Source organism: Homo sapiens, chromosome 3, assembly GCF_000001405.40.
Source record: "Homo sapiens chromosome 3, GRCh38.p14 Primary Assembly".
NCBI classification, from domain to species: Eukaryota; Metazoa; Chordata; class Mammalia; order Primates; family Hominidae; genus Homo; species Homo sapiens.
The window spans coordinates 189,870,226-189,892,966 of NC_000003.12; the positions used below are offsets into that span (position 1 = coordinate 189,870,226).

Consider the following 22,741-nt stretch of genomic DNA (forward strand, 5'->3'; position numbering starts at 1 on the left):
CAAGGCAGAAGCCTGAATTACAGTCAGCCCTCCCTATCTGCCTGTTCCATATCTGCAGATTCAACCAATCACAGATCAAAAATAGTTGGAAAAAAACAATAAAAAAATACACCAATCAAAATAATACAAATATAACAACAATATAGTATAACAACTAATTGCATGGCATTTACATTATATTAGATATTATAAGTAATCTAGAGGTAATTTTAAACTATACAGAGGATATGCATAGGTTACGTGCAAATACTACACCATTTTATATAAGGGACTTGAGCAACCTAGGATTTTAGTATCCATGGGGGCCAGATGGGGGTGGGTAGTCCTGGAATCAATGCTCTGCTGATATCAAAAGACAACTGTGTATGTAAATGGCCAGAAGTCTTAGCCCAATTATTATGTAAGAACCTCATTAATTCCTACAAGGGACATTACTTCTCTTGCAATCACTAATGAGATCACTTTATTAGATTATGGTTGCAGTTAGTTAGTTGAATTCTTATTGCATTAGGTCTTTGCCATGTAGGGTGGCAATGACGTTTTGGTGGCTGGCATAGCCCTTGATGCCATCTAAAGCGATGACATGAGACACAGCCAAGCAGGGCCAGGAGATTTGACCATGAACTACTACCCTGGGATTGAACTAACGAAAGTCAACGGATTTAGGTGTGCTGCACTTTCTTCCTCATCTTCTTTGGGTCCTGACTCTCAGGGGAATAAATTGCCAGTAGACCAATCAGACGGTGAGTTAGCTGAGATTCCCAGTGTCTTGTTTCTCAAGGTATATATGGAAACTGACTTGTGATGTTAAAGTAAAACATTACCCTGATACACTAAATATTCCAAAAGTCTTAATATGTTTTCAGCTGATAAAACAGGAACTGCTTGAAAAATTATTTTAAAATTTCAGTTTGTACTAAGAAGGAGGTATCCTTCTTAGTGTCATGTCTCAAGTTGAGAGAAGACTTAGCCTAAATAATTTATGGGTGAGGAAAAACTCCATTAATTTAATATATATTTTGTTGGTGTTTGGTGAGTGGCAAATATGCTAGACCTTGAGCATTTAGAGTTCAGTAGGATACAATTCTTACTTTCAACTACCTTGCCTTCTATTGAGGACACAAACAGTTATAATGTAATAAATAAATGTAATGTAATAAAATAAATATTCCTAGATCAAGGCCTAGTGCTGTGTGAGTACCCAAGAAGCTCCAAAGATGCAAAAACTATAAATAAGAGTAAGATCAAGAAAAGCTTCTCAGAGAAGGGGTCCCACAGCTGGGATGAGTAAGAGTTAATTCAACAAAAGGTGGAGAACATTTTTCATTTCTGAATTCTGACTAATTCTGCCTTTCCTACTGGGTGCAGCAACTGGGGTAAGGCAGTTAAAGTGCCTAGGGTGCAAAATTTAAATAGTCACTCACACCCAAGGCAATGCAGTTGTGCTAAGTGCCTCTCTTGCCTCACTCTAGTCCTGGCCCGGCTCATCCGTTTTTTTGGTTTTTGTTTGTTTTGAAACAGGATCTCACTTTGTTGCCCAGGTTGGAGTGTAGTGGCAGGATCATGGTTCACTGCAGCCTCAGACTCCCAGACTCCAGCAATCCTCCCACCTCACCTCCCCAGGTAGCTGGGACCACAGGTGTGGGCCACCACGCCCACTAATTTTTGCACATTTTGTAGAGAAGGAGTTTTTTTCCCAGGGTGGTCTTGAACTACTGAGCTCAAGCAATCTGTTCCCTCCCAAATTGCCGGGATTGTAGGTGTGAGCCACCATGTCTGGCCCCTGCTCATAATTGTAAAAGCCTTTAAGAGCTTTTATTTAAAGATTTTAAGGGACTCTCTTAAAGAGAGAAACATATTTTATCCCACATGGAAACTTTTATCCTATCAAACATAGTTACAATCTATTCTTATTTTTTGTAGTAGTTTAGTTTTATGAAGGTGTTGCAAAAATGGTATTGGTGGATATGAATCATCTCATCGCTCCTAAGAGAAATATAGGATTGGGTTCCTATGCACCTCTGGTCACATACATTTCACAACAGAATAATATATCACTTCGTTTGTTGTGTGTTTCTGTTAAGAGACATTTTATTTAATATATACCGTTGACTCATTAACATCAGACTCGTGGCCAATTAGCCTTATAACTCATGCCTGAATAAAGTTTCTCTAACACACACACACACACACACACACACACACACATATTTTCTCCATAAGGCATGGAACGACCTTCTCTCACTTAGGGACACTAGATAGCACTTCCGCACTGCCCTTGAGGGTCTTTTAAATAACAAAATCACCAATGAAAAGCACAAAAATGTAAAACACGTGGCGCTAAATAGACCATGAAAAGAACGTGGGTTTACGGTATAAGAGCTACAAGATGACAGAGCATCTCCTTGTTCGAACCAGCTGGGAATGCACACAGGTGACTCAAATTTTTCATCACTCTGCCCGGGTCTGAAAGACCACAAAAGGGCCAAGAGTGTTGATTTTCATGTTACAAATAAACGTTAGCAAATAAACAAATTGCAATTACGGAATCCTCAAATAATGAGGATTGACCACACTTCTAACAGTTCTACAGCTTTTCATGTTTCCTTCTTTCCTTCTGCTCACTTCCATAGGTGAGGGGCCGTGAGACTTATGAAATGCTGTTGAAGATCAAAGAGTCCCTGGAACTCATGCAGTACCTTCCTCAGCACACAATTGAAACGTACAGGCAACAGCAACAGCAGCAGCACCAGCACTTACTTCAGAAACAGTGAGTGTATCAACGTGTCATTTTAGGAGGCATGAGTGAGGGTGACTTTATTTGGATCAGCAATAGGGTGATTGATGAGCAATGTGGAACATAATGGGAGATAGCAGATTGTCATAGATTCAGATGACCTGGTATGGCAACCCTCTTTCAGTTGCAACCTTTTTTACGTGTCTTATTATAACCTTCCCTTCAGAATTCCACTTATGTTCTGAAATTAAATACAAACCATTTCTGGTGAATTACAAAGAAACTCACACTAACAGTTCTCGTCTCTATATGCCTGGTCCATACACACTAACAGTAAGTACACACTCTATTTGGTAGTGATGTGTATATTTGAAAACATGAAATCTTTTCTCATCCCAATGGATTGTCTTATAAATCTCCTGGGATGCACACTATCCACTTTTGGGAATAACACTGTAGACCAGGGATAGCAAATAGGCTTTACTATAATATAAAGTGACTTGTTTGAATGCTGTAATGAGAAGAATTCTGAGACCTAGTGCATGATAATTGGGGAAATATCTGGGTGCAGAAGGATAAGGTAGCATCATGTTGCCGTATTTTAGAATCTCTGCTCTAGATTGTCTTCCAGCAGTACATTTTTGGCATAAATCAAGCCAGATTTTTCAAGTATATTACCATATACATATAACCTATTTATATGTTAAGCTTTGCCTTGAATCTTGGATCTTTCCTAAAGTGATTTTATGACTGACTAGAATAGAATAGCTCTTATGAAAGGATGAGAGGTTGACCAATCAGGACCTTGTTTATATTTACCTTTCTGTGGTTAAAAATAATCACTTGTTAGTTTAATTAAAATATGATATGTGTCCTGGAAGTATTGTCAGAGACTCTGTAGATAAGTGTAAAATATATACATTATGAGTCCACTTGAGTAATGTAGACTTTCAACTTCATACTTTAGGCAAAAAAGAAGTCAAAAACTATCTTCCAGAGGCAAAGATTATATTTTACAATAGAAATGCAAATGAACAATAAAAATGGTTATTTTCTATGTTATTAGCTGTTGTAGGGAGTCAGCTGTGGAAAGTGTAATAAAGAGGGCTTATGATTATTATTATTATTATTGAGTCTCGCTCTGTCACCCAGGTAGGAGTGCAGTGGCACTTTCTTGGCTCACTGCAACCTCTGCCTAGCGGGTTCAAGTGATTCTCCTGCCTCAGCCTCCCGAGTAGCTGGGATTAGAGGCACCTGCCACCATGCCTGGCAGATTTTTTGTATTTTTTAGTAGAGATGGGGTTTCACCATGTTAGCCAGGCTGGTCGCGAACTCCTGAACTCAGGTGATCCACCCACCTCGGCTTCCCAGAGTGCTGGGATTACAGGTGTGGGCCACCGTGCCGGCCTTGTTATTATGTTTTAATCAATATGAATGTATCTCTGATAGTAAAGAAACACTTTCTGAGCACCTGTTATCTACAGAGTGGAGTAGACGGCAGGGAGAAAAGAGGCACATTCTCTGTTCAAAGGACTCTAAGCTATTTGAGCATCCAAGATCCTTTTTGGCCCGAAGGGATCTCACCATTTACTTTTAGCATAAAAGTTTTGCAAATTTTAATGGTATGGTTTTATTTGTAAGCCTGAGCAGAAAGTTTAATCACACAGTGTATTCTGAAGGAGAATTAGAACTCAGAGTTGCAGACACAATTTCCATTGCTAATCATATGGATGTTTTGGGATATCAGATGGAAATATATACTAACATATTTAAGTGGAAAATGATTTAGTTCTTATAAAACCATACAACCAGGATCAAAGAAACAGAGACCTGTAACATCATTTATAGACCCAGGAGGGATATCTACCTTTCCTAAGATATGTGTGTCATGGTATTAAGAAATACCCTCAAATTTCCTCCTGTTCACTCTGAAAGTTTGACTATACCAAAATGACCTCCAAAACATCACTAAGTAATATATCATGCTGAACTAGTTGCTCTTCAGTACTCTTTCCTGTCTTTTTTTTTTTTTTTTTTTCAGTTAATAAGAAAAGGTCTCATATGTAGTACAGGAATTGGCAAGCTGCTTTTTGTAAAGTCCTGGTAGTAAATATTTAGATTTTCTGGGTCTATATTGTCTTTTGCAACTACTCAGCTCTGTGGTTGTAGCACAGAAACAGCCGAAGATAATGCATAAAGGAAAGAGAGTGGCTGTTCCATAAATGGAACTTTATGGACCCTAAAATTTGAATTTCATATAATTTTCACATGCCGTGAAATATTATTCTCCTTTTGATTGTTCCTCCCCCTATTAAAAACTGTAGGCCGGGCACGGTGGCTCACGCCTGTAATCCCAGCACTTTGGTAGGCCAAGGTGGGTGGATCACGAGGTCAGGAGCTCGAGACGAGCCTGGTCAATATGGTGAAACCCCGTCGCTACTAAAAATACAAAAATTAGCTGGGCAAGGTGGCACGCACCTGTAGTCCCAGCTACTTGGGAGGCTGAGGCAGAAGAATCGCTTGAACCTGGGAGGCAGAGGTTGCAGTGAGCCAAGATTGTGCCACTGCACTCCAGCCTGGGCAACAGAGAGAGACTTCATCTCAAAAAGAAAAAGAAAAAAAAATACATACATATATATATATATATATATATATATATATATATATATATATATAAACTATTCTTAGCTTGCTGTAGTTTGATAGTCTGTCTTATAGATAAATGCGTGGATCTCCTTTCATTGCTTCTTGAGGCTCCAATTTTGTTTGATAGGTGTACTTGGAAGTTAATATGTATATTCCAAGCTAGAAAGTTATTAAAAGATTTTAGGAAATCCTAAAGTGGTTTTTCAGGTGGCATTTCAGTATCTAATAAAAAGCAACACCAGCCTTGAACAGATATCTTTTTTGTCTGAGAAAGTGAGGCATGCCCATCCAGATATAAAATGTAGTTAACGACACAACCTCATTGTCAGATGAGGCTGGAATAGTTGACTTGATTCACGTCACATATTCTTATTGAAGATGTGCTATGTGAAAGCATTAAGGATAGAGGTGAGAAAGATGTAGCTCCTGCCTTCCCATGGTCTACAATTTAATGGTGAATTTCTAACCTTAACACTCTGAGTTTGAAGAAAGCTCTGGAAATTTATCCTCAGCATTGTGCAAGTTAATAGGACAATTTTAAACAGTTTCCATGGATCATATGAGAAAAAGAATAGTTTCATGTCATTGTTTTAGAAACTTGACAAGCCAGGAGGATTGACATCATTCAGTTCAGGGGCATATGCTAAATGTATTTGTTTTTATGGCATACATGAAAATACATAACCCTCTTTTTCTATACGATGAGTATCCAGTGCTTATTGTCTGACCGGCTCACATTGCTCTAAAGGGAATTTTTTATTCATATTTCATAAAATAATCTGTGTCCCCAGAGAAGAAAACACATGTTAATATTGTGTTATTTTTAAAAGCACACAAGATTTTAGGGACATATTTACACTTTTTTGCATGTGTGGCCACAGATAGATAGTAAAGAACTAGTAGCTTCATAGTTCCCTGGTGTGTTCATTTAACTGTATTATATGCATGCTTTTGAGTTGGTATCTCACAGCTGTGATAACTTGTGCATGGAAATCTAACAGACTGCAAAATTAAATCTTTGCAAAATATAGACATTTGGTCTAATTATGTCTTTGTAACATTATATATACATGGGTCTCCAGTGATTGATATGCATCTATATAAATCCTTCAGTTGAATTCTTCAGCTGAGTTTTTTTAGCTCTTATTTTCATGCAAATCTCCAAGAAAGAGCATGAATGACTAAACAAAGAAAAACAAAAATCTAATTTCCTGGCAATCATTTGAAAAGAATAAATCAGCTTGGAAAATACCTATAATAGCCTGTGATTTTCTTTCCAAAAAGATAGTACCAATTTTATGCTGGTAAGGAATCAATTTTGTATTTTTCTTTATAGTAGAGGGAAAATTAGTGGGAAGAGAACGTACTTTCTGTAAGGTGGCACTACAATATTTTTACTTTAATTACTTCTATTAGGTTCCCACTATGTGTTTTCTTCTGCCTGCTTTTCATTTGTGCATGGTTTTTCTTTTTAAAAAAATTTCTTCGCGTTTACCTTCATGATCATAGGCTTTATCGAAGATAGACTTTACAGAGCTGCTGTGAATCAAATTGTTATAGATACAAGTAGGCTTTATATTACGAAGAAATGTGATTTTAGTTGATTTGCTTACATTGGAATAAATATAGAGAGTTATGTTTCTAGATGCCAGAATCTAATAGAAAGACAAATCGGACCCTATCTTTAGACTTCTTGCCATCCTATTATCAAGGGACATCAACGCTTAAGACAGCTTTGCAGAAGCCTCTTGAGACCTATTTAGCAACGTTTTGACTTCTGTACTTCAGATCAGTACTATTTCTTTTTTCATTTGTTAGTTGTTTTCCCTTATTCTTGGCTTCCAACATAAAAGCGAGGCTGACATCACTTTGTTACAGTCTCGCTTAGGCTAGCTCTTACTTTCCTCTGGAAATTTATTTTTGAGCTTCTACAGGATGAATTTTATTTAAATGATAAAACAGATCTGTGACATCCTGATGAGCCCTTAGTGTTTCCTTCTCTTTTATGATTACTTGACAATTGTGGCTCATTAGTAACACAAGTCAGAGATTATTAGAACAAAGCAGGATCTCCAAGTCCATGGTTCCAGCCCCTCACACCATAGCCGGATAAACTGAGGCTCTGTGAATTTATAGCCAGTTTATAATAAAGCTAAGACTAGAATCAGATTTAGAACATAGAGCTCTTTGTAATGTTGTGTTCTGCTACATTGGCAGTTAAGTAAGTAGTTAATTATAAAATTTAAACATCTATTTCCATTTTTCTGTCTCTTTTTTGTAGGATTGTTTTAGAGATGGGGTCTAGCTATTTTGCCCAGGCTGGACTTGGACTTCTGGGCTCAAGCGATCCCCTGCCTCAGCCTCCCGAGTAGCTGTGGACCACAGGCACACCCCACTGTGCCTGGCACGTTTTTCTGACTCTGTTGTTAGTTACTTGGTATTTATTCTTGTAGGTTCACTTTAAAGTCCTGTATCTTTAAACTTGTTTGGCGATGGTTATCATCAAGAATATTGATATTTTTTTCTCAGATTCATGTATCTGAGGGAGAAGCAGGCAGTATTTTCAGTATTATCAATGTAGAAAAGAGAAAGGTACACGGTCTCCAAACTGATAGAAAATGTCAACACCGTATTTCTAGGTTAGACAGAGAAATCCTCCACGTTTCCAGAATATCTGAAATTGCCAGCTTTATAGGTTAAAAAGAGATGAATATTGATAATTTCATATGATTCACCCTTATAGTTATTATGGAACTACACAAGCTTTTACAGTTTCCTTTTTTTTTTTTTTTTTTTTTGAGACAGAGTCTTGCTCTGTCACCCAGGCTAGAGTGCAGTGGCATGATCTCGGCTCACTGAAACATTTGCCTCCTGGGTTCGAACAACTCTCCTGCCTCAGCCTCCTGCGTAGCTGGGATTACAGATGCCTGCCACCATGCCCGGCTAATTTTTGTATTTTGATATATATATATAATTTTTTTTTTCTTTTTTTTTTTTTTTAGTAGAGACGGGATTTCACCATGTTGGCCAGGCTGGTCTCAAACCCCTGACGTTGTGATCCCCCCGACCTTGGCCTCCCACAGTGCTGGGATTACAGGTGTGAGCCACCGCGCCCAGCCTACAGTTTACTTTTGAATTTCATAGTTATGAAGTTTTCAGGGCAGAGATTTATTATCTCTGAATTGGTAATGAAGAAAAACCATAGAGACGGGGTTTCACCATGTTGGCCAGGCTGGTCTCAAACCCCTGACCTTGTGATCCCCCTGACCTTGGCCTCCCACAGTGCTGGGATTACAGGTGTGAGCCACCGCGCCCAGCCTACAGTTTACTTTTGAATTTCATAGTTATGAAGTTTTCAGGGCAGAGATTTATTATCTCTGAATTGGTAATGAAGAAAAAACTCAATGATTAATTAAACTCAGATAGATTAAATTACTTTTGTAACTTCTCTCACCTCATTGCAGAATCAGGCTCAGTCCTAGGTCTTAGAGGTCTTTAGTTAGCTGTACATTGCTTCCCCATCCATTTTTATTCGGGCATATTCTGTTAAGATGATATCAATTCTTGCCGGTGACATGGTTTACTGAATCCTAGCATTAAGCAAATAAAAATGACTTTGTTCCTTTGAAAGGCATAGCCAAATGTGATTCAAGAAGCCAATCTGGGAAACAATTTCCAAACAGTTCATGAGATTGCCCAACTTTCAGCAAAATAAAAGGGTTTATTTCTGGCATCCTCGTGGTGTAAATAATTTCTTAATTATGCAAAAAATTGCTTTCTTGGGTTTGATATATGCATTTATAGGCCGAGTTTTTTACTCAAAGGATTAAGGTATTTATCCATCTCAATCTGGGAATATCCAAAATACTCATTAAACAGTTCTTTGTAAATGCCTGATGCCACAGGCCCCATTCTGATAATATCATATTTCTCTATACCTCACACTTAGGCTAGACAAGAACTGTAATGAGGGATAATAATTGACCAGATGACATTTTACAAAAGATTCAAGTTTCTTCTTCTTCATTCCTTTTTTTTAATTGAGTCCAGTAAACCGTATGCGAAGCACTGTGTTAAATACCTTGATCTACCTTATCTCAGTGGTCCTCGACTGAATCGCCTTGTGTAACTTATTAAAAATATGTTTTCCTGGATGCCAGCTTGTGTTGGAAGGGAGCCAGGAAAATGCATTTTTATAAGTTTCACAAGTGATTCTGATGTTTATTTCTGGTTAACTACTATAGCCTTATCCCATTTCTTCCTCATAAAAATCTTGAGAAGTCTCAGTAATTGTAAAAGAAGATAAATTGGAAGAACAAAAATAGCTTTTCAGGCACTCTATTCTGTCTATACTATGATCATGAAGGTATAAGGAGTGTGTTTCTGAATTCAATTGATTTGAATAGATGAAGTCCTAGGCCTTCATTTTTTCTTTTCTCTGGTTCCTCTCTGCAGTCTCCTTTCAGCCTGCTTCAGGAATGAGCTTGTGGAGCCCCGGAGAGAAACTCCAAAACAATCTGACGTCTTCTTTAGACATTCCAAGCCCCCAAACCGATCAGTGTACCCATAGAGCCCTATCTCTATATTTTAAGTGTGTGTGTTGTATTTCCATGTGTATATGTGAGTGTGTGTGTGTGTATGTGTGTGCGTGTGTATCTAGCCCTCATAAACAGGACTTGAAGACACTTTGGCTCAGAGACCCAACTGCTCAAAGGCACAAAGCCACTAGTGAGAGAATCTTTTGAAGGGACTCAAACCTTTACAAGAAAGGATGTTTTCTGCAGATTTTGTATCCTTAGACCGGCCATTGGTGGGTGAGGAACCACTGTGTTTGTCTGTGAGCTTTCTGTTGTTTCCTGGGAGGGAGGGGTCAGGTGGGGAAAGGGGCATTAAGATGTTTATTGGAACCCTTTTCTGTCTTCTTCTGTTGTTTTTCTAAAATTCACAGGGAAGCTTTTGAGCAGGTCTCAAACTTAAGATGTCTTTTTAAGAAAAGGAGAAAAAAGTTGTTATTGTCTGTGCATAAGTAAGTTGTAGGTGACTGAGAGACTCAGTCAGACCCTTTTAATGCTGGTCATGTAATAATATTGCAAGTAGTAAGAAACGAAGGTGTCAAGTGTACTGCTGGGCAGCGAGGTGATCATTACCAAAAGTAATCAACTTTGTGGGTGGAGAGTTCTTTGTGAGAACTTGCATTATTTGTGTCCTCCCCTCATGTGTAGGTAGAACATTTCTTAATGCTGTGTACCTGCCTCTGCCACTGTATGTTGGCATCTGTTATGCTAAAGTTTTTCTTGTACATGAAACCCTGGAAGACCTACTACAAAAAAACTGTTGTTTGGCCCCCATAGCAGGTGAACTCATTTTGTGCTTTTAATAGAAAGACAAATCCACCCCAGTAATATTGCCCTTACGTAGTTGTTTACCATTATTCAAAGCTCAAAATAGAATTTGAAGCCCTCTCACAAAATCTGTGATTAATTTGCTTAATTAGAGCTTCTATCCCTCAAGCCTACCTACCATAAAACCAGCCATATTACTGATACTGTTCAGTGCATTTAGCCAGGAGACTTACGTTTTGAGTAAGTGAGATCCAAGCAGACGTGTTAAAATCAGCACTCCTGGACTGGAAATTAAAGATTGAAAGGGTAGACTACTTTTCTTTTTTTTACTCAAAAGTTTAGAGAATCTCTGTTTCTTTCCATTTTAAAAACATATTTTAAGATAATAGCATAAAGACTTTAAAAATGTTCCTCCCCTCCATCTTCCCACACCCAGTCACCAGCACTGTATTTTCTGTCACCAAGACAATGATTTCTTGTTATTGAGGCTGTTGCTTTTGTGGATGTGTGATTTTAATTTTCAATAAACTTTTGCATCTTGGTTTATCTTGCAGTTTTTTTGTTTCTGTCTCTCTCACTTTTTTTCCACTAAATACTAGAATATTCTCATGTAAGTGCTTGAAGTAGCATGTGTAGGTCTAAGGAACAAGAATAATAATAGAATCATCACTTTGTTCCTACGTACATTTCTTCTGTCAGTATTTGGTATTTTTATTTAAGATACTCTGTATCAAGGTCATCAATCGTAACAAGGAACTAAAATGCCTAAACTAACTTAAAAAAATACTTTAGCTCTATGAGTTTTAAAGTTTGTCCTAGGAAGCCAGACACCATAGAATCATTTATTGACATTCCTGACAAACCTCTAGTTGTATGTTAATTCGCCAAATTTACTAAAGTGAATTTCAATCAAATCCAAATGTTTTAAATAACATGGCTTCTGTGGCATAGACATTAGCAAATATTTGGCCAGAAATCAACAGTGGAACCTATTGTCCAATTTTTTTTTTTACTTATGTTTTGAGCCCTGAATAATTGCTTTTAAAAGCTTCATAAGAAGTTCTAACCAAAAAAAAAAAATTAGTATTTTAGATAAATATTTCAGAAAAAAAAATCTTTATATTTGAGATAAAAGTATATTAGTAAAACCAGATGCTCCTGTTATATTTGCAAGGTGTTTTTCAATTGGTCTAATAACTTTGATTCACAAAGCCCTTAAAGGATTGGTGAGTATGTTTCGTTTTTTGATATTTGCTTTTCTTTCAGAAGGGTTTTTCTTTTCTTTCAGCCTTTTTTAAGTAAGTTTTTAATGTGTTTATAGTGACTTGTATATAAATGCACATATTTGAAATGATGGAAAATATTAGAAAATTACAGTTTTCCCATCTAGAGAATAAATGCTGCACTGTCTTTAGTAGCCAGATAACCCGGCTAGAGAGAAAGGTCACAGGTAGGCAGTACTGGGTAAAATTGAGAGAAGATATGATTCTTTTTCTGATGGTCCATGTTTTCCCTTTTTTTTTTTTTTTTCCTGACCTTTCTCATAACAAGGATGCTCTGCTCCGCCCTCAGTATCCCTTTCTGCTCCCAAATTCTTTACTGCAGAAATGGTTTGTTGAAATAGATTTGGCCTAAGCTATCACCAAATCCTACTAGAGGGTTGCTTTTTAATGAGCAGTGGAAGATTTTAGCCAAAAGAAGGAATCTAGTGGAATTCTAGACATCTAGGAGGTAGATAGTGTAACTTGTGTCTGCGCAGGAATTTTGATATTCTACCACATAGATAGTCACTAGGGTTGGAACCAGAAAACCTGATTTGAAGTCCTATATGTCCTAAAACCACTTCTCGCTTTTCAATTTTGAATTTTATTCTTCGGAAACTGTGCAGAAGCTTATATTGTTAAAGTTAAGAACTGGGACTTGGCTCCACCAGGATTTTTCTTCAAAGCTGGAAATACGTGAAATATGATTTTCTACATCTCTGTTACACTGAATTCTTAGAAAAATCTAGTGAGGCTCTAGAGAAAACAACCTGAGGTATACACCTTACGATTTTTTTCTGCAGACAGCTGGATTCTTACTTTTTTGGGTTTTGGATAGGAGAGGAGAGTGTAGGCAAGAAAACCAGAATGGTACAGGTCCTGTTATTCTTCTGAACACATTTTCCTTCTCTTTAGTTTCTCCAGAAATTTTTGGAATATTTCACTTAAGAACTATTGTATTAAATTTGTAATTTTTTTTAAAAAAGGTTGTTCTTCAAGGCTTTCAAATTGGCTGAGTTTATTCAGCCTTGCTTCCTTTTTCACCGTATGTAGTTTTCAGAATGCTTCTTCTAGTTCAGTCATTTTGAAATTAATAATAGACAGACTACCTTGCTTCCCTTCCGTGTGGCTTTAAAACTCACTTTCATATTAAAGGGAAGGCATTCCGAATTTCTGACCTTTCCTGACTGTTAACCCCATTCAACTGTTCACCCTCATTTCTGGGTATGTTCAATTAAGAATCCAACTCACCTCTGGCCACTTCCTCCTATTAATTCTTACATAGTTATCTTCTATGCCATGGGCCACATATCAGAGTGTTAAATATTTGAGGCTGGAGGGAAACAGTGAAAGAAGCTAAGAAGCTGATGTTTCCTGAGCACCTACAAATCACTGGACCCTGTCCAGGGCTGTTACATGATCTCATTCTTAATAGAAATCTTCTAGAGTAGGTACAATATCTAGGCTACAGGTTAAGAAAATGAGACTCAAGAAACTTGTACAACATCCTGCGTCACTAAGTTTGTGTTAGATGTTTTGATTGACTTAGAATCCATGTTCCTTCTTTCTTCATCTGTGGTTTCTGACCTACCCTCCTCAAATTAGTGGCTTATGATGAAAAATGGTAAATGAACTAATAAAATAGTCAAAAATAATAACCATAAGCTAAAGAAAGCAGGAGGTTGTAACAGGAATTGTAAGAAGGAATTTACTCTGAGCGTCCAGAAAAAAAAAAAAGCAAAACTTTTAAATGTATTTTTATTTTTCTAATTGTGGCTATTAATGATTCAAGCACTGCTTTCTATTAGCTCTTGCTGTACATTTGACTGGTTTGAGGAGGGACAGATAGAGAGGTCTCCTCAGGTTACAGAGGACCAACTGCATCAGGAATATGGGCTACCTGGAATCTTAGGTACTTTTCAGTGAGCAAAGAGAATTGAAGAAACATCAGCTGGCAGAGAATCTCCTTACTGCCTTGCCCCAAGCTTTCCTATACTCTGATGTGGACTAATGGATGAGCCTAAGTGCAGCCATATGTGCTGACTCTTTGAAAAGGTTCCCCCACAGGGACGGAGTGGATTCAGAAGTGCTTGGTAGTAGCTGGAGTTACCTCCTTTACCCCTCTTCCATCTTGGTCTCCTACATTTCTCTTACTACTTCATCTATTTCTTGTCCCCATAACCTAGAAAAAACAATAGGTGCCAGGAGACCTAGTTCTGCCCTCAGTGCATCCATTTAGCAACATGTGATCTTGGGCATATGTTTTTTCTTAGAACCTTATATTTACCCATATGTATATTTGGAATAGTAATTTCTGTCCATCTCTGCCCTGCTATACCATGACCTGCTCCACAAGGATGGTGTGACAATCATTCAGAAAATGTACAAAGAAGAGTTCGGTAACCTGAAATGTTTTATAGTTGGGAGGATTTATTGTATCAACACCAGTATATATATACAATGTGGATCTATAATTGTGAGTATTTGATAAGGGCTAAAGAGAAAAGTCAATGCCCTCCTACCTTAAAGGCAGTGATTGTAAAATACACCTGAATTGTTAATTTACATTAATTGACATGATAATTTATACACATTAAAATACAGCATATTGTTTGCATTCATCTAGCTGTGGCTCTCCATTGACATGGAATGGAGCCTTCCTTATTTTCATGTAATTATGGAGAGAATGCAGAGTGGCAGCTTCGAAGACCATCCCTACGATTGCAGCACCTAAGTGCTAGGGCCATTTTTAAAATGATTTTTTTCAAATATTATGCCATATAGGCTTGGAACCTGGGTCCATTTACAGAGCCTCCAAAATTTGAATTATACATATATATGCAGATAAAACTCAAAGAAAAAATTTGTCTCCCCTCTAATGTAAATATGCCTGTGACAGGGAAAAGGTAAACAGGAACAACATAATTCGCTTTGTTTGAGAATTGTTAAAGGGGAGTTTTCCCATAACAGACTAGACACTTGCTTAAAGTCCAGTCTTCATTCTGTGGTCACAGTAATTCAGTGTAGATGCTGCATAGTCTGTACATTTCTTCCTCATCTTCTCTTTTTCAGTTCTCATCATAGCCGTATAAGGTAGGATGGATTATTATATCCATTGCCTCCACTACTCTATGAGTGTCTCAAAGATGGGGACCATGCCTTAAGTTTTATTAACTTGAACATCTGACTCATGCAGCAAGTGTAAATGTATGTAGTTTATATAGTTTTCTTGTGAGAAAACAAAGGCCAGGATGTTAAGTAGCTCGCATGGGCATCTATAGCATCCTAACAGATGACGGAGGAAGGCTTCATCTCTGACTTTGTGACTCTCATTGTAGTACACATCACTAGTTTTTATATTAAGATAAAACATCAGGAATGACAGTTGAGTTGGGAATATTATCTGTTAGATATAATATGACAAATGAGTTCTGGTAACTTTCCAAATTGAAGATCATGCTGAATGGAAAACTATTGGGTTTTTCTGTTGCTTTGTTTTTTTCATTTCTCCCAGGAGACTTTTGGAAAGTCAATAGAATAGTTATTTGGGCTTCAGCGTTCTCCTGTGTAGAAATGCTTTTGACATTCCAGTAGGTTCTCTCATACATCATGAACATCTCTATTGAAAATGCATGTTTCCAAGTAGGGGCCTCTGCATGACAGCAAGATGAGCTGCCAAATGCCCAGTTTGATTGGGTTTGTAGTCATTTTCTGCATATCCCAAATGGAATATACAGAAAGCTACAAATGGAATGCCTTAGCTGCAGTTTGAGGGTGGGATATCCATGTTTTTCGTCAGCCTTTAAGTCTTTGCTCAATTCTTTTCCCTAACTGCTTTTCAAACTCATTTGAGTTGAAGGGAAAAGAGGAGAAGGGAATGGAGAAAACAACTGAAGGGAAAAGAGGAGGCAAGAATTTTCTCTTTCTCAAAGGAAATACTAAACCTTGCACTCTGCACATTCAGGAAAAATATGATTTGATGATAGCCTCGCAGTCAGTTTCTCCCTATTCAGGAAATATTCTCAGATGGAAACAAAATTAACTTCTTACCATTAATCCTAGAAGAATGTTTTCAAATGTTTGGTTTGAGGCCATGTTTTAAACAGAGACCTGTTGAAAATCAATAGTCCCCACTCTTCAGTGTCCCTTGCTCACCATTATTTCCATGTTTGTCTTCCTAGGACCTCAATACAGTCTCCATCTTCATATGGTAACAGCTCCCCACCTCTGAACAAAATGAACAGCATGAACAAGCTGCCTTCTGTGAGCCAGCTTATCAACCCTCAGCAGCGCAACGCCCTCACTCCTACAACCATTCCTGATGGCATGGGAGCCAACAGTAAGAGCATCTCCTTTTAGCTGTGGCTGAAGGATGAACAGGCTAGCTTAGGACAAGACTCTGTGATGGGGAAGGCATGTTCTTAAGCTAAATGAGAGACACAGTGGGACAGATCAGATCAAAGTGGAGTGGCTTGGGTTTCTGACTGAACCTTTCACTTTTGAGGTTTATCATTCATTGCAAAATATACTACTGGTAGAGATAGGGACGGATGTTTCTTTAGTGTAGGGATAAGGATTTCTGTGAAAAGAACAGTCTACTTGCTGCTATCCTGGATGGAGACTCACCACCTGCAGCCTTTGAAATAGTCAAAAGGAAACAAATGCAACATGCATAAAGTAGCATGTTGCAGTGAACTTAAAATCTAGAGAAATAGGCCGGGCATGGTGGCTCACGACTGCAATCCTAGCACTTTGGGAGGCCGAGGCGGGAGGATCACTTGAGGTCAGGAGTTCGAGACCAACCTGGCCAACATGGTGAAACCCCGTCTCTATTAAAAATACAAAAGTTAGCTGAGCCTGGTGGTGCATGCCTGTAATCCCAGCTACTCAGGAGGCTGAGGCATGAAAATCACTTGAACCCGGGAGGCAGAGGTTGCAGTAAGGTGAGATCACACTGCTGCACTCCAGCCTGGGTGACAGAGTGAGACTCAGTCTCAAAAAAAAAAAAAAAAATCTAGAAAAGTAGATTATCGTCTGGACTCTATGAAAAAAATACCTCTAATTACAAAGAAGTTACTTCTCGAATACTTAATTTTCTATCCATAAAATTGTCACTATATATACTTAACATTTTATGTCTGTTACTCTATAATCCTGGCCTTTTAAACTCACCTATTCTATCCCAGACACAGTCAGTAAGGAACTGATCTACGAAGGAACCTGCCTTTTATTTCTTCTCACACACATTCCTCATATCAGCTAAGTACAAATGAAAAAGGCACTGTAAGAATTGGGCCTCCAAGTGGATGATGACTGGCATATAGCTTTACTATAAATATAATTATCTTCTCCACTAGGACTAAATCTAGCAAAGTGGATACACAAACTTGAAGGAAAAAAAAGTCGTGGTAAAAATGCAAAAGATTGTATAACACCCTCGGGGATACAGAAGACTGAACATTGCATGGGTATCATATAATCCTTACTACCTAAAAAACAGTACCCTCAAGCTTGTCTTTTGAAATCCTAATTATTTTGATCAAACCTCTAAACGAGCATTTCAGTGTTGTCTCTTCTGAAAGAAATCAGGGGAGGCTAGGATTATGACTTTCTGTGGTCTAATGGCACACATTCATTGTTTTGGTTTTTTTTTTTTTTTTTTAGACAGAGTTTCGCTCTTGTTGCCCAGGCTGGAGTGCAATGGCGCAATCTCGGCTCACTGTAATCTCTGCCTCCCAGGTTCAAGTGATTCTCCTGCCTCAGCCTCCCGAATAGCTGGGATTACAGGCGTGCACCACCACGCCCGGCTAATTTTTTGTATTTTTAGTAGAGGTGGGTTTTCACCATGTTGGCCAGACTGGTCGCGAACTCCTGACCTCAGGTGATCCACCCACCTCAGCCTCCCAAAGTGCTGGGATTACAGGCGTGAGCCACCGCGCCTGGCCACACATTCATATTTTAATGAGATAGAGGTGTGTGTGTTTGCAATGGTTGCCTGTTATGGCAAACGTAGACTTTAGAGTGAGATCACTCTCTCACTAATGATAAACTCATCATAAGGCTTAAAACCTGACCCCTTGACAGGCCTACTTTGACATAAAAAGAGTAGAAACCATTTATTTTCAACTTTATTTTATTTCTTGTGACATCTTAGAGTCCTCAAGTTCCTTCTTGGTATGACAAAATTGTGATAATAGTGATGATGGTTCACATTTGTATAACTTACAGTTTGCCTACTTTTTTTCTTATTTGTACTTTACAATTATTTCAGAAGGGAAACAGATTGAGATGTGATAGGGTATGCTCTTTAGTTAGCTAGTTAGTGGCAAAGACCTTTTCTAGGCATACTGCTACTCACTAAAGTAGAAACAAATTACATTAATCTTTTAGTAAATTATTTTGTTCTTTTTGACATGAAGGCAAAATTCATTTTATAAATATTGATATTAAACTTTTTTTCTCTATCAGTGAGTGTTTACACTTAATTGTTTAGTAAAATATCAGTAAGTATTGGTGGTGTTCCTGTATACAACCCTGAAAATGGACCATAAGTAATAGAATATTTAATTGTATCATCATTTATTAGGCACGTGAGTCCTTCTAAATATTGAAGTCAGTCTCCCTATTCCCAAATAAATGTTCCAAGGGTCACTCTTTCATTCACAGATTTGTGCATTTATCCACTTACCCTAAGTTTACTGAGCACCTACTCTGTGCCAGGCACTGTGCTAGGGACTGTAGGGATCTAGACACCTATAAGATCTAATCTCTGTGCTTGCACAGGTTAGTGAGGGAGACAGAAATATCACCCTCGAAGGCAAATACAAGGAAGAATATGTTAACATTAAGAGCAATTAGCAATTAGAGAATTAGAAGCAGAGAAAGGGGAGGAAAGAGATTGTTCTCGGACAAGGTACAAAAGTCAAGAGGTGCCTAATTAGTTTGGAGTCTGACCGTTCTGTTTGACTAGATGTAGGCTGTTTGAAGGGGTGTAGTGAGAGCGAAGATTAAAAAGGAAGGCTGGTAGTTTAGGCCCTTGATAAAATTTAACCAGACAAGATGGACCACTGGGATGCTGGTACATGATGATGGCAGTAACCCTTTTTGTTCCTCCTGCTTCTGTTCAGTTCCCATGATGGGCACCCACATGCCAATGGCTGGAGACATGAATGGACTCAGCCCCACCCAGGCACTCCCTCCCCCACTCTCCATGCCATCCACCTCCCACTGCACACCCCCACCTCCGTATCCCACAGATTGCAGCATTGTCAGGTGAGTCCACAGCATGTGCCCCTGGGGGCCTGCCCTAAGCATCCCGGGATGGTGGAGGGCGGATACTGTTATAGTCCATAAAACAGTTGGAAGGGAAGACAGCAGTCCTGTGGTTGGAGTTCAGTCACTATTATCTCTGATCTGTGGAGTGGTCAACAATGTTTTATCAAGGAAAACTACTATAACCAGCATGGAAACAAGGGAAAGTGTCTGTTGATAGGCATATTGTTTTCATGTCTGTTTCCCTCGCCTTCACTTACTCCCTTCCTCCTCTCTCACATTTTTACATTGTCAATTGCGGCCCTCAAGTTGGTGCTCAGGGCTGGGTTTCCAAAAGGGCAATAAACTTGCTATCTCGCTCCTTTTCCTCTCTCTCTAATCCTTATAGCTCTCAGCCACCATGGGACCATTATTTTGGAGTTGGATGTCCATAAAAAGTTTTAATGTTATCCAAAATGACAGGGACTTTCAAAAACTGATGGCCTTTACTACTCTGCCTATGGGAAATGGGCACACTCCAGAAAAGGGGAGTTGAGATAAGCAGAAGAAAGAAATGCATGAAGCCTGAAAGATTTGCTTCCCACAGAGGCAAGAGTAGGTTCCCAGATTTCTTGCCTAGTGTATATCTTCTTCTTCTGCTTCATGTGCAGAATGATTGTTTCATTTGGCTACTGGAACGATTTGTGTTGATTTTCCTGCTACGTCAATCACAGGGATGGCAAAGTGCGTGGCCTTTTCCACCCAGGGTCTGTTCTGTAATGATGGTGGCATCATCATCAGTCTCAGACCAGCACCAAAAGGAAGGGGATCTGTATCCTGAGAAGGACATAAATCAAAAGGCATGAATGACTTAATGGAGTAGAGGCCTACAATTTTTTTCTTAACCACATGAGCCATTCTCACAAAGCCCAGATACAAAACAAATAAAGTAGAGATGTTCTTTTTGAAGTGTAGAGCCAAGCAGCAAGAAAGCTAGGAACCTGAACACTGGACTTCCCTTTCACCCTTTGCAATGGTTCCTAGGACACTTACACAGAACCCTAGAATTCCACAGATCACCATATGATAATCGCTGATCTGCAGGAATCCTTATAGTTGATTTTAATTTCTGTAGACCTAAACTTCATGTCACCAGTAATCTCCAGACCTCAGACTTAAGGCCCACATATATATTACCCAATCCTCATCTCTGATGTGGGGCATCCAAGGGCAAAATATATTGGGTTTTCCCTTATCTCGCCAATGCAGTTGGGGTGAACTTTCTTTTTCTGTTTCCTCCTTCCTCTTCCCTCCTCCCTCTGCAGTTTCTTAGCGAGGTTGGGCTGTTCATCATGTCTGGACTATTTCACGACCCAGGGGCTGACCACCATCTATCAGATTGAGCATTACTCCATGGATGTAAGTAACTGTTAGACTTTTCTCAAATTTTATTTCTTCATTTCTTTCCTCTGATGACAACCGCCTTGTAGTTCAATCCCTGATAGTTTAAAAATTTGTTTTTGTCATGCCCCCAATTATCCATTTTGATAGAACCCATAACTATGTTAGAAAGATTCCCAGGCCTCAACCTATACATATTAGAAGCTTAGCAATCAATCTTCCTTAGCTTGTCTTATCAGTCAACAATTGTCTATTGCACTTACACTATTCTCAAGGTGGGAAAGAGGAGCTATTCCCGCAATCAAAACATTCATAATTTCTAAAGAATTAATACAACTTTTTGAGTGTGCTCATTAATCTGTATCAGTTCCCAGAAAGGATAGCAGGGCACCGGTGGTGCTATTCTCTTAAAAACATGGAGAGATGACACAGTAGTCATTTGCCATGACTATTTAAAACAAAACTAGGAATAGAACACAAACGTGTAAGCTTACAGTCTTTAACTTTATTAACTGGCCTTTTCTGCCTTTCTTTAAATTAGTACCTTAAGGGAGATTCAGCCGTTCCTCTCAATTAAAACTATATGTTCCTTTATTAATTTTCAGTTTCATCCTAATAGAGCCCAGCCATTTCTAATCATTGGGCATTATCAATGGCTATGGGGTCAAATCCCAATCACCCTTTTTAGTAGCAATGAGAACTTGGGGTTATCACTTTGCCTCTCTGGGCCTCAGTTAATAAAATATTGGGTTCAAATTACTCCTTTCTGGCTTTCATATCCTTTGATTTGTCTTTGAAACAAGCTGGGCGAGAGGGGACTTTTTCTTGCTTCCTACTCCACTTTTTGAACTCCTGCTCACACGGGAGCTAGTGTTGCTCTGGTTTATGGCAATCTGATTTGTCTCTTAGGCCGCGCTCTTCATGCTGCTCTCTTTGGGGTTCACTAGCCTCTCTTCTAGCTTCCAGAGGGTACTTTGGACTGCGGGAAGAAGACAGTCTCTGCCTCTGCTGCTACTTCTATTGTTGGGGACTCTTTTTTCCCCCTCCTTGAGCACCGATGCTAGAGATGCCCCTGCAGCATAAGAATGCCCCCACCATGAGGTGACGTGTACATAGTGTACTGCCCCTATGCCCACCCCTCTTCACCCCATAAATCACTCCTGGCTGCTGCTCCCTGATAGAATAAGTTATAAGCAAAAACTGCAGGGAAAGCTTTAAGAGTAAGTTCCAGTATTATTCTGATAACTTTACAGTCACTTCCGTCCACTGAAGAGAACAGAGTTGCCCTATATTTGAGAGAGTCTCCTGTAGTAGATTCCTACATTTTGGAACAGAGAATCTTCCTCTTCCCTATATTTTTAAAGTTATACTTTCCACTTGCTCACTTATTTCCACTGGGGAATGTGTCAGGATGTTCCCTTGATCATTAGGATCTGCAGATACCCTTTATAAGTTCATTTCTGCTGATGTTGACTAAGTCCTATGCCAATCTGTGGGCCACAGCTTTCTCACCTGTCAGTCATTAGTTAAAATCCATCCAGGGCATCATGACAATGAACAGAGTCTAATTTACAAAGAGCTTTGCATTTACTGAGAGCCTCAAAAGTATAAAGAATCCAAGAAACATAAAAAGCTATGCTTATTTAGGCCGGGCATGGTGGCTCACACCTGTAATCCCAGCACTTTGGGAGGCCGAGGCAGGCGGATCACGAGGTCAGGAGACCGAGACCATCCTGGCTAACACGGTGAAACCCTGTCTCTACTAAAAATACAAAAAATTAGCCAGGTGTGGTGGTGCACCTCTGTAGTCCCAGCTACTCAGGAGGCCGAGGCAGGAAAATGGCGTGAACTTGGGAGGCGGAGTTTGCAGTGAGCCGAGATCACGCCACTGCACTCCAGCCTGGGTGAAAGTGCAAGACTCCGTCTCAAAAAATAATAAAAAAAGCTATGCTTATTTTTTTGTGGATTACCTTCTTTATAAGGTATTCTTCTGCTACAGTAAGAGATTAGGAATACCTCTAATGGCCTGAAAATTCACACCATAGGAAAATATGACACCAGACTACAAACTTCCAAATTGAGAAATGTTGGGAAGCTGTGCA

The 22,741-nt window shown here is 38.9% G+C and overlaps 1 protein-coding gene across 13 annotated transcripts in view; it reads left to right on the forward strand.

The window, feature by feature from the left end:
* TP63 (tumor protein p63) overlaps positions 1 to 22,741 on the forward strand; it is a 300,531-nt gene that overhangs the window by 273,480 nt on the left and 4,310 nt on the right. For 5 of the 13 annotated variants that reach the window (NM_001329964.2, NM_003722.5, NM_001329148.2 and 2 more), the window contains 4 exons: positions 2,634 to 2,770; positions 16,169 to 16,326; positions 19,115 to 19,259; positions 20,564 to 20,657. In NM_001329964.2, the coding sequence (NP_001316893.1) occupies positions 2,634 to 2,770; positions 16,169 to 16,326; positions 19,115 to 19,259; positions 20,564 to 20,657 (534 nt within the window). Of the gene's footprint in view, positions 1 to 2,633; positions 2,771 to 9,838; positions 11,279 to 16,168; positions 16,327 to 19,114; positions 19,260 to 20,563; positions 20,658 to 22,741 lie in introns of those variants that run through there. The other 8 variants (NM_001329144.2, NM_001329145.2, NM_001329149.2 and 5 more) reach the window with 3 other exon arrangements.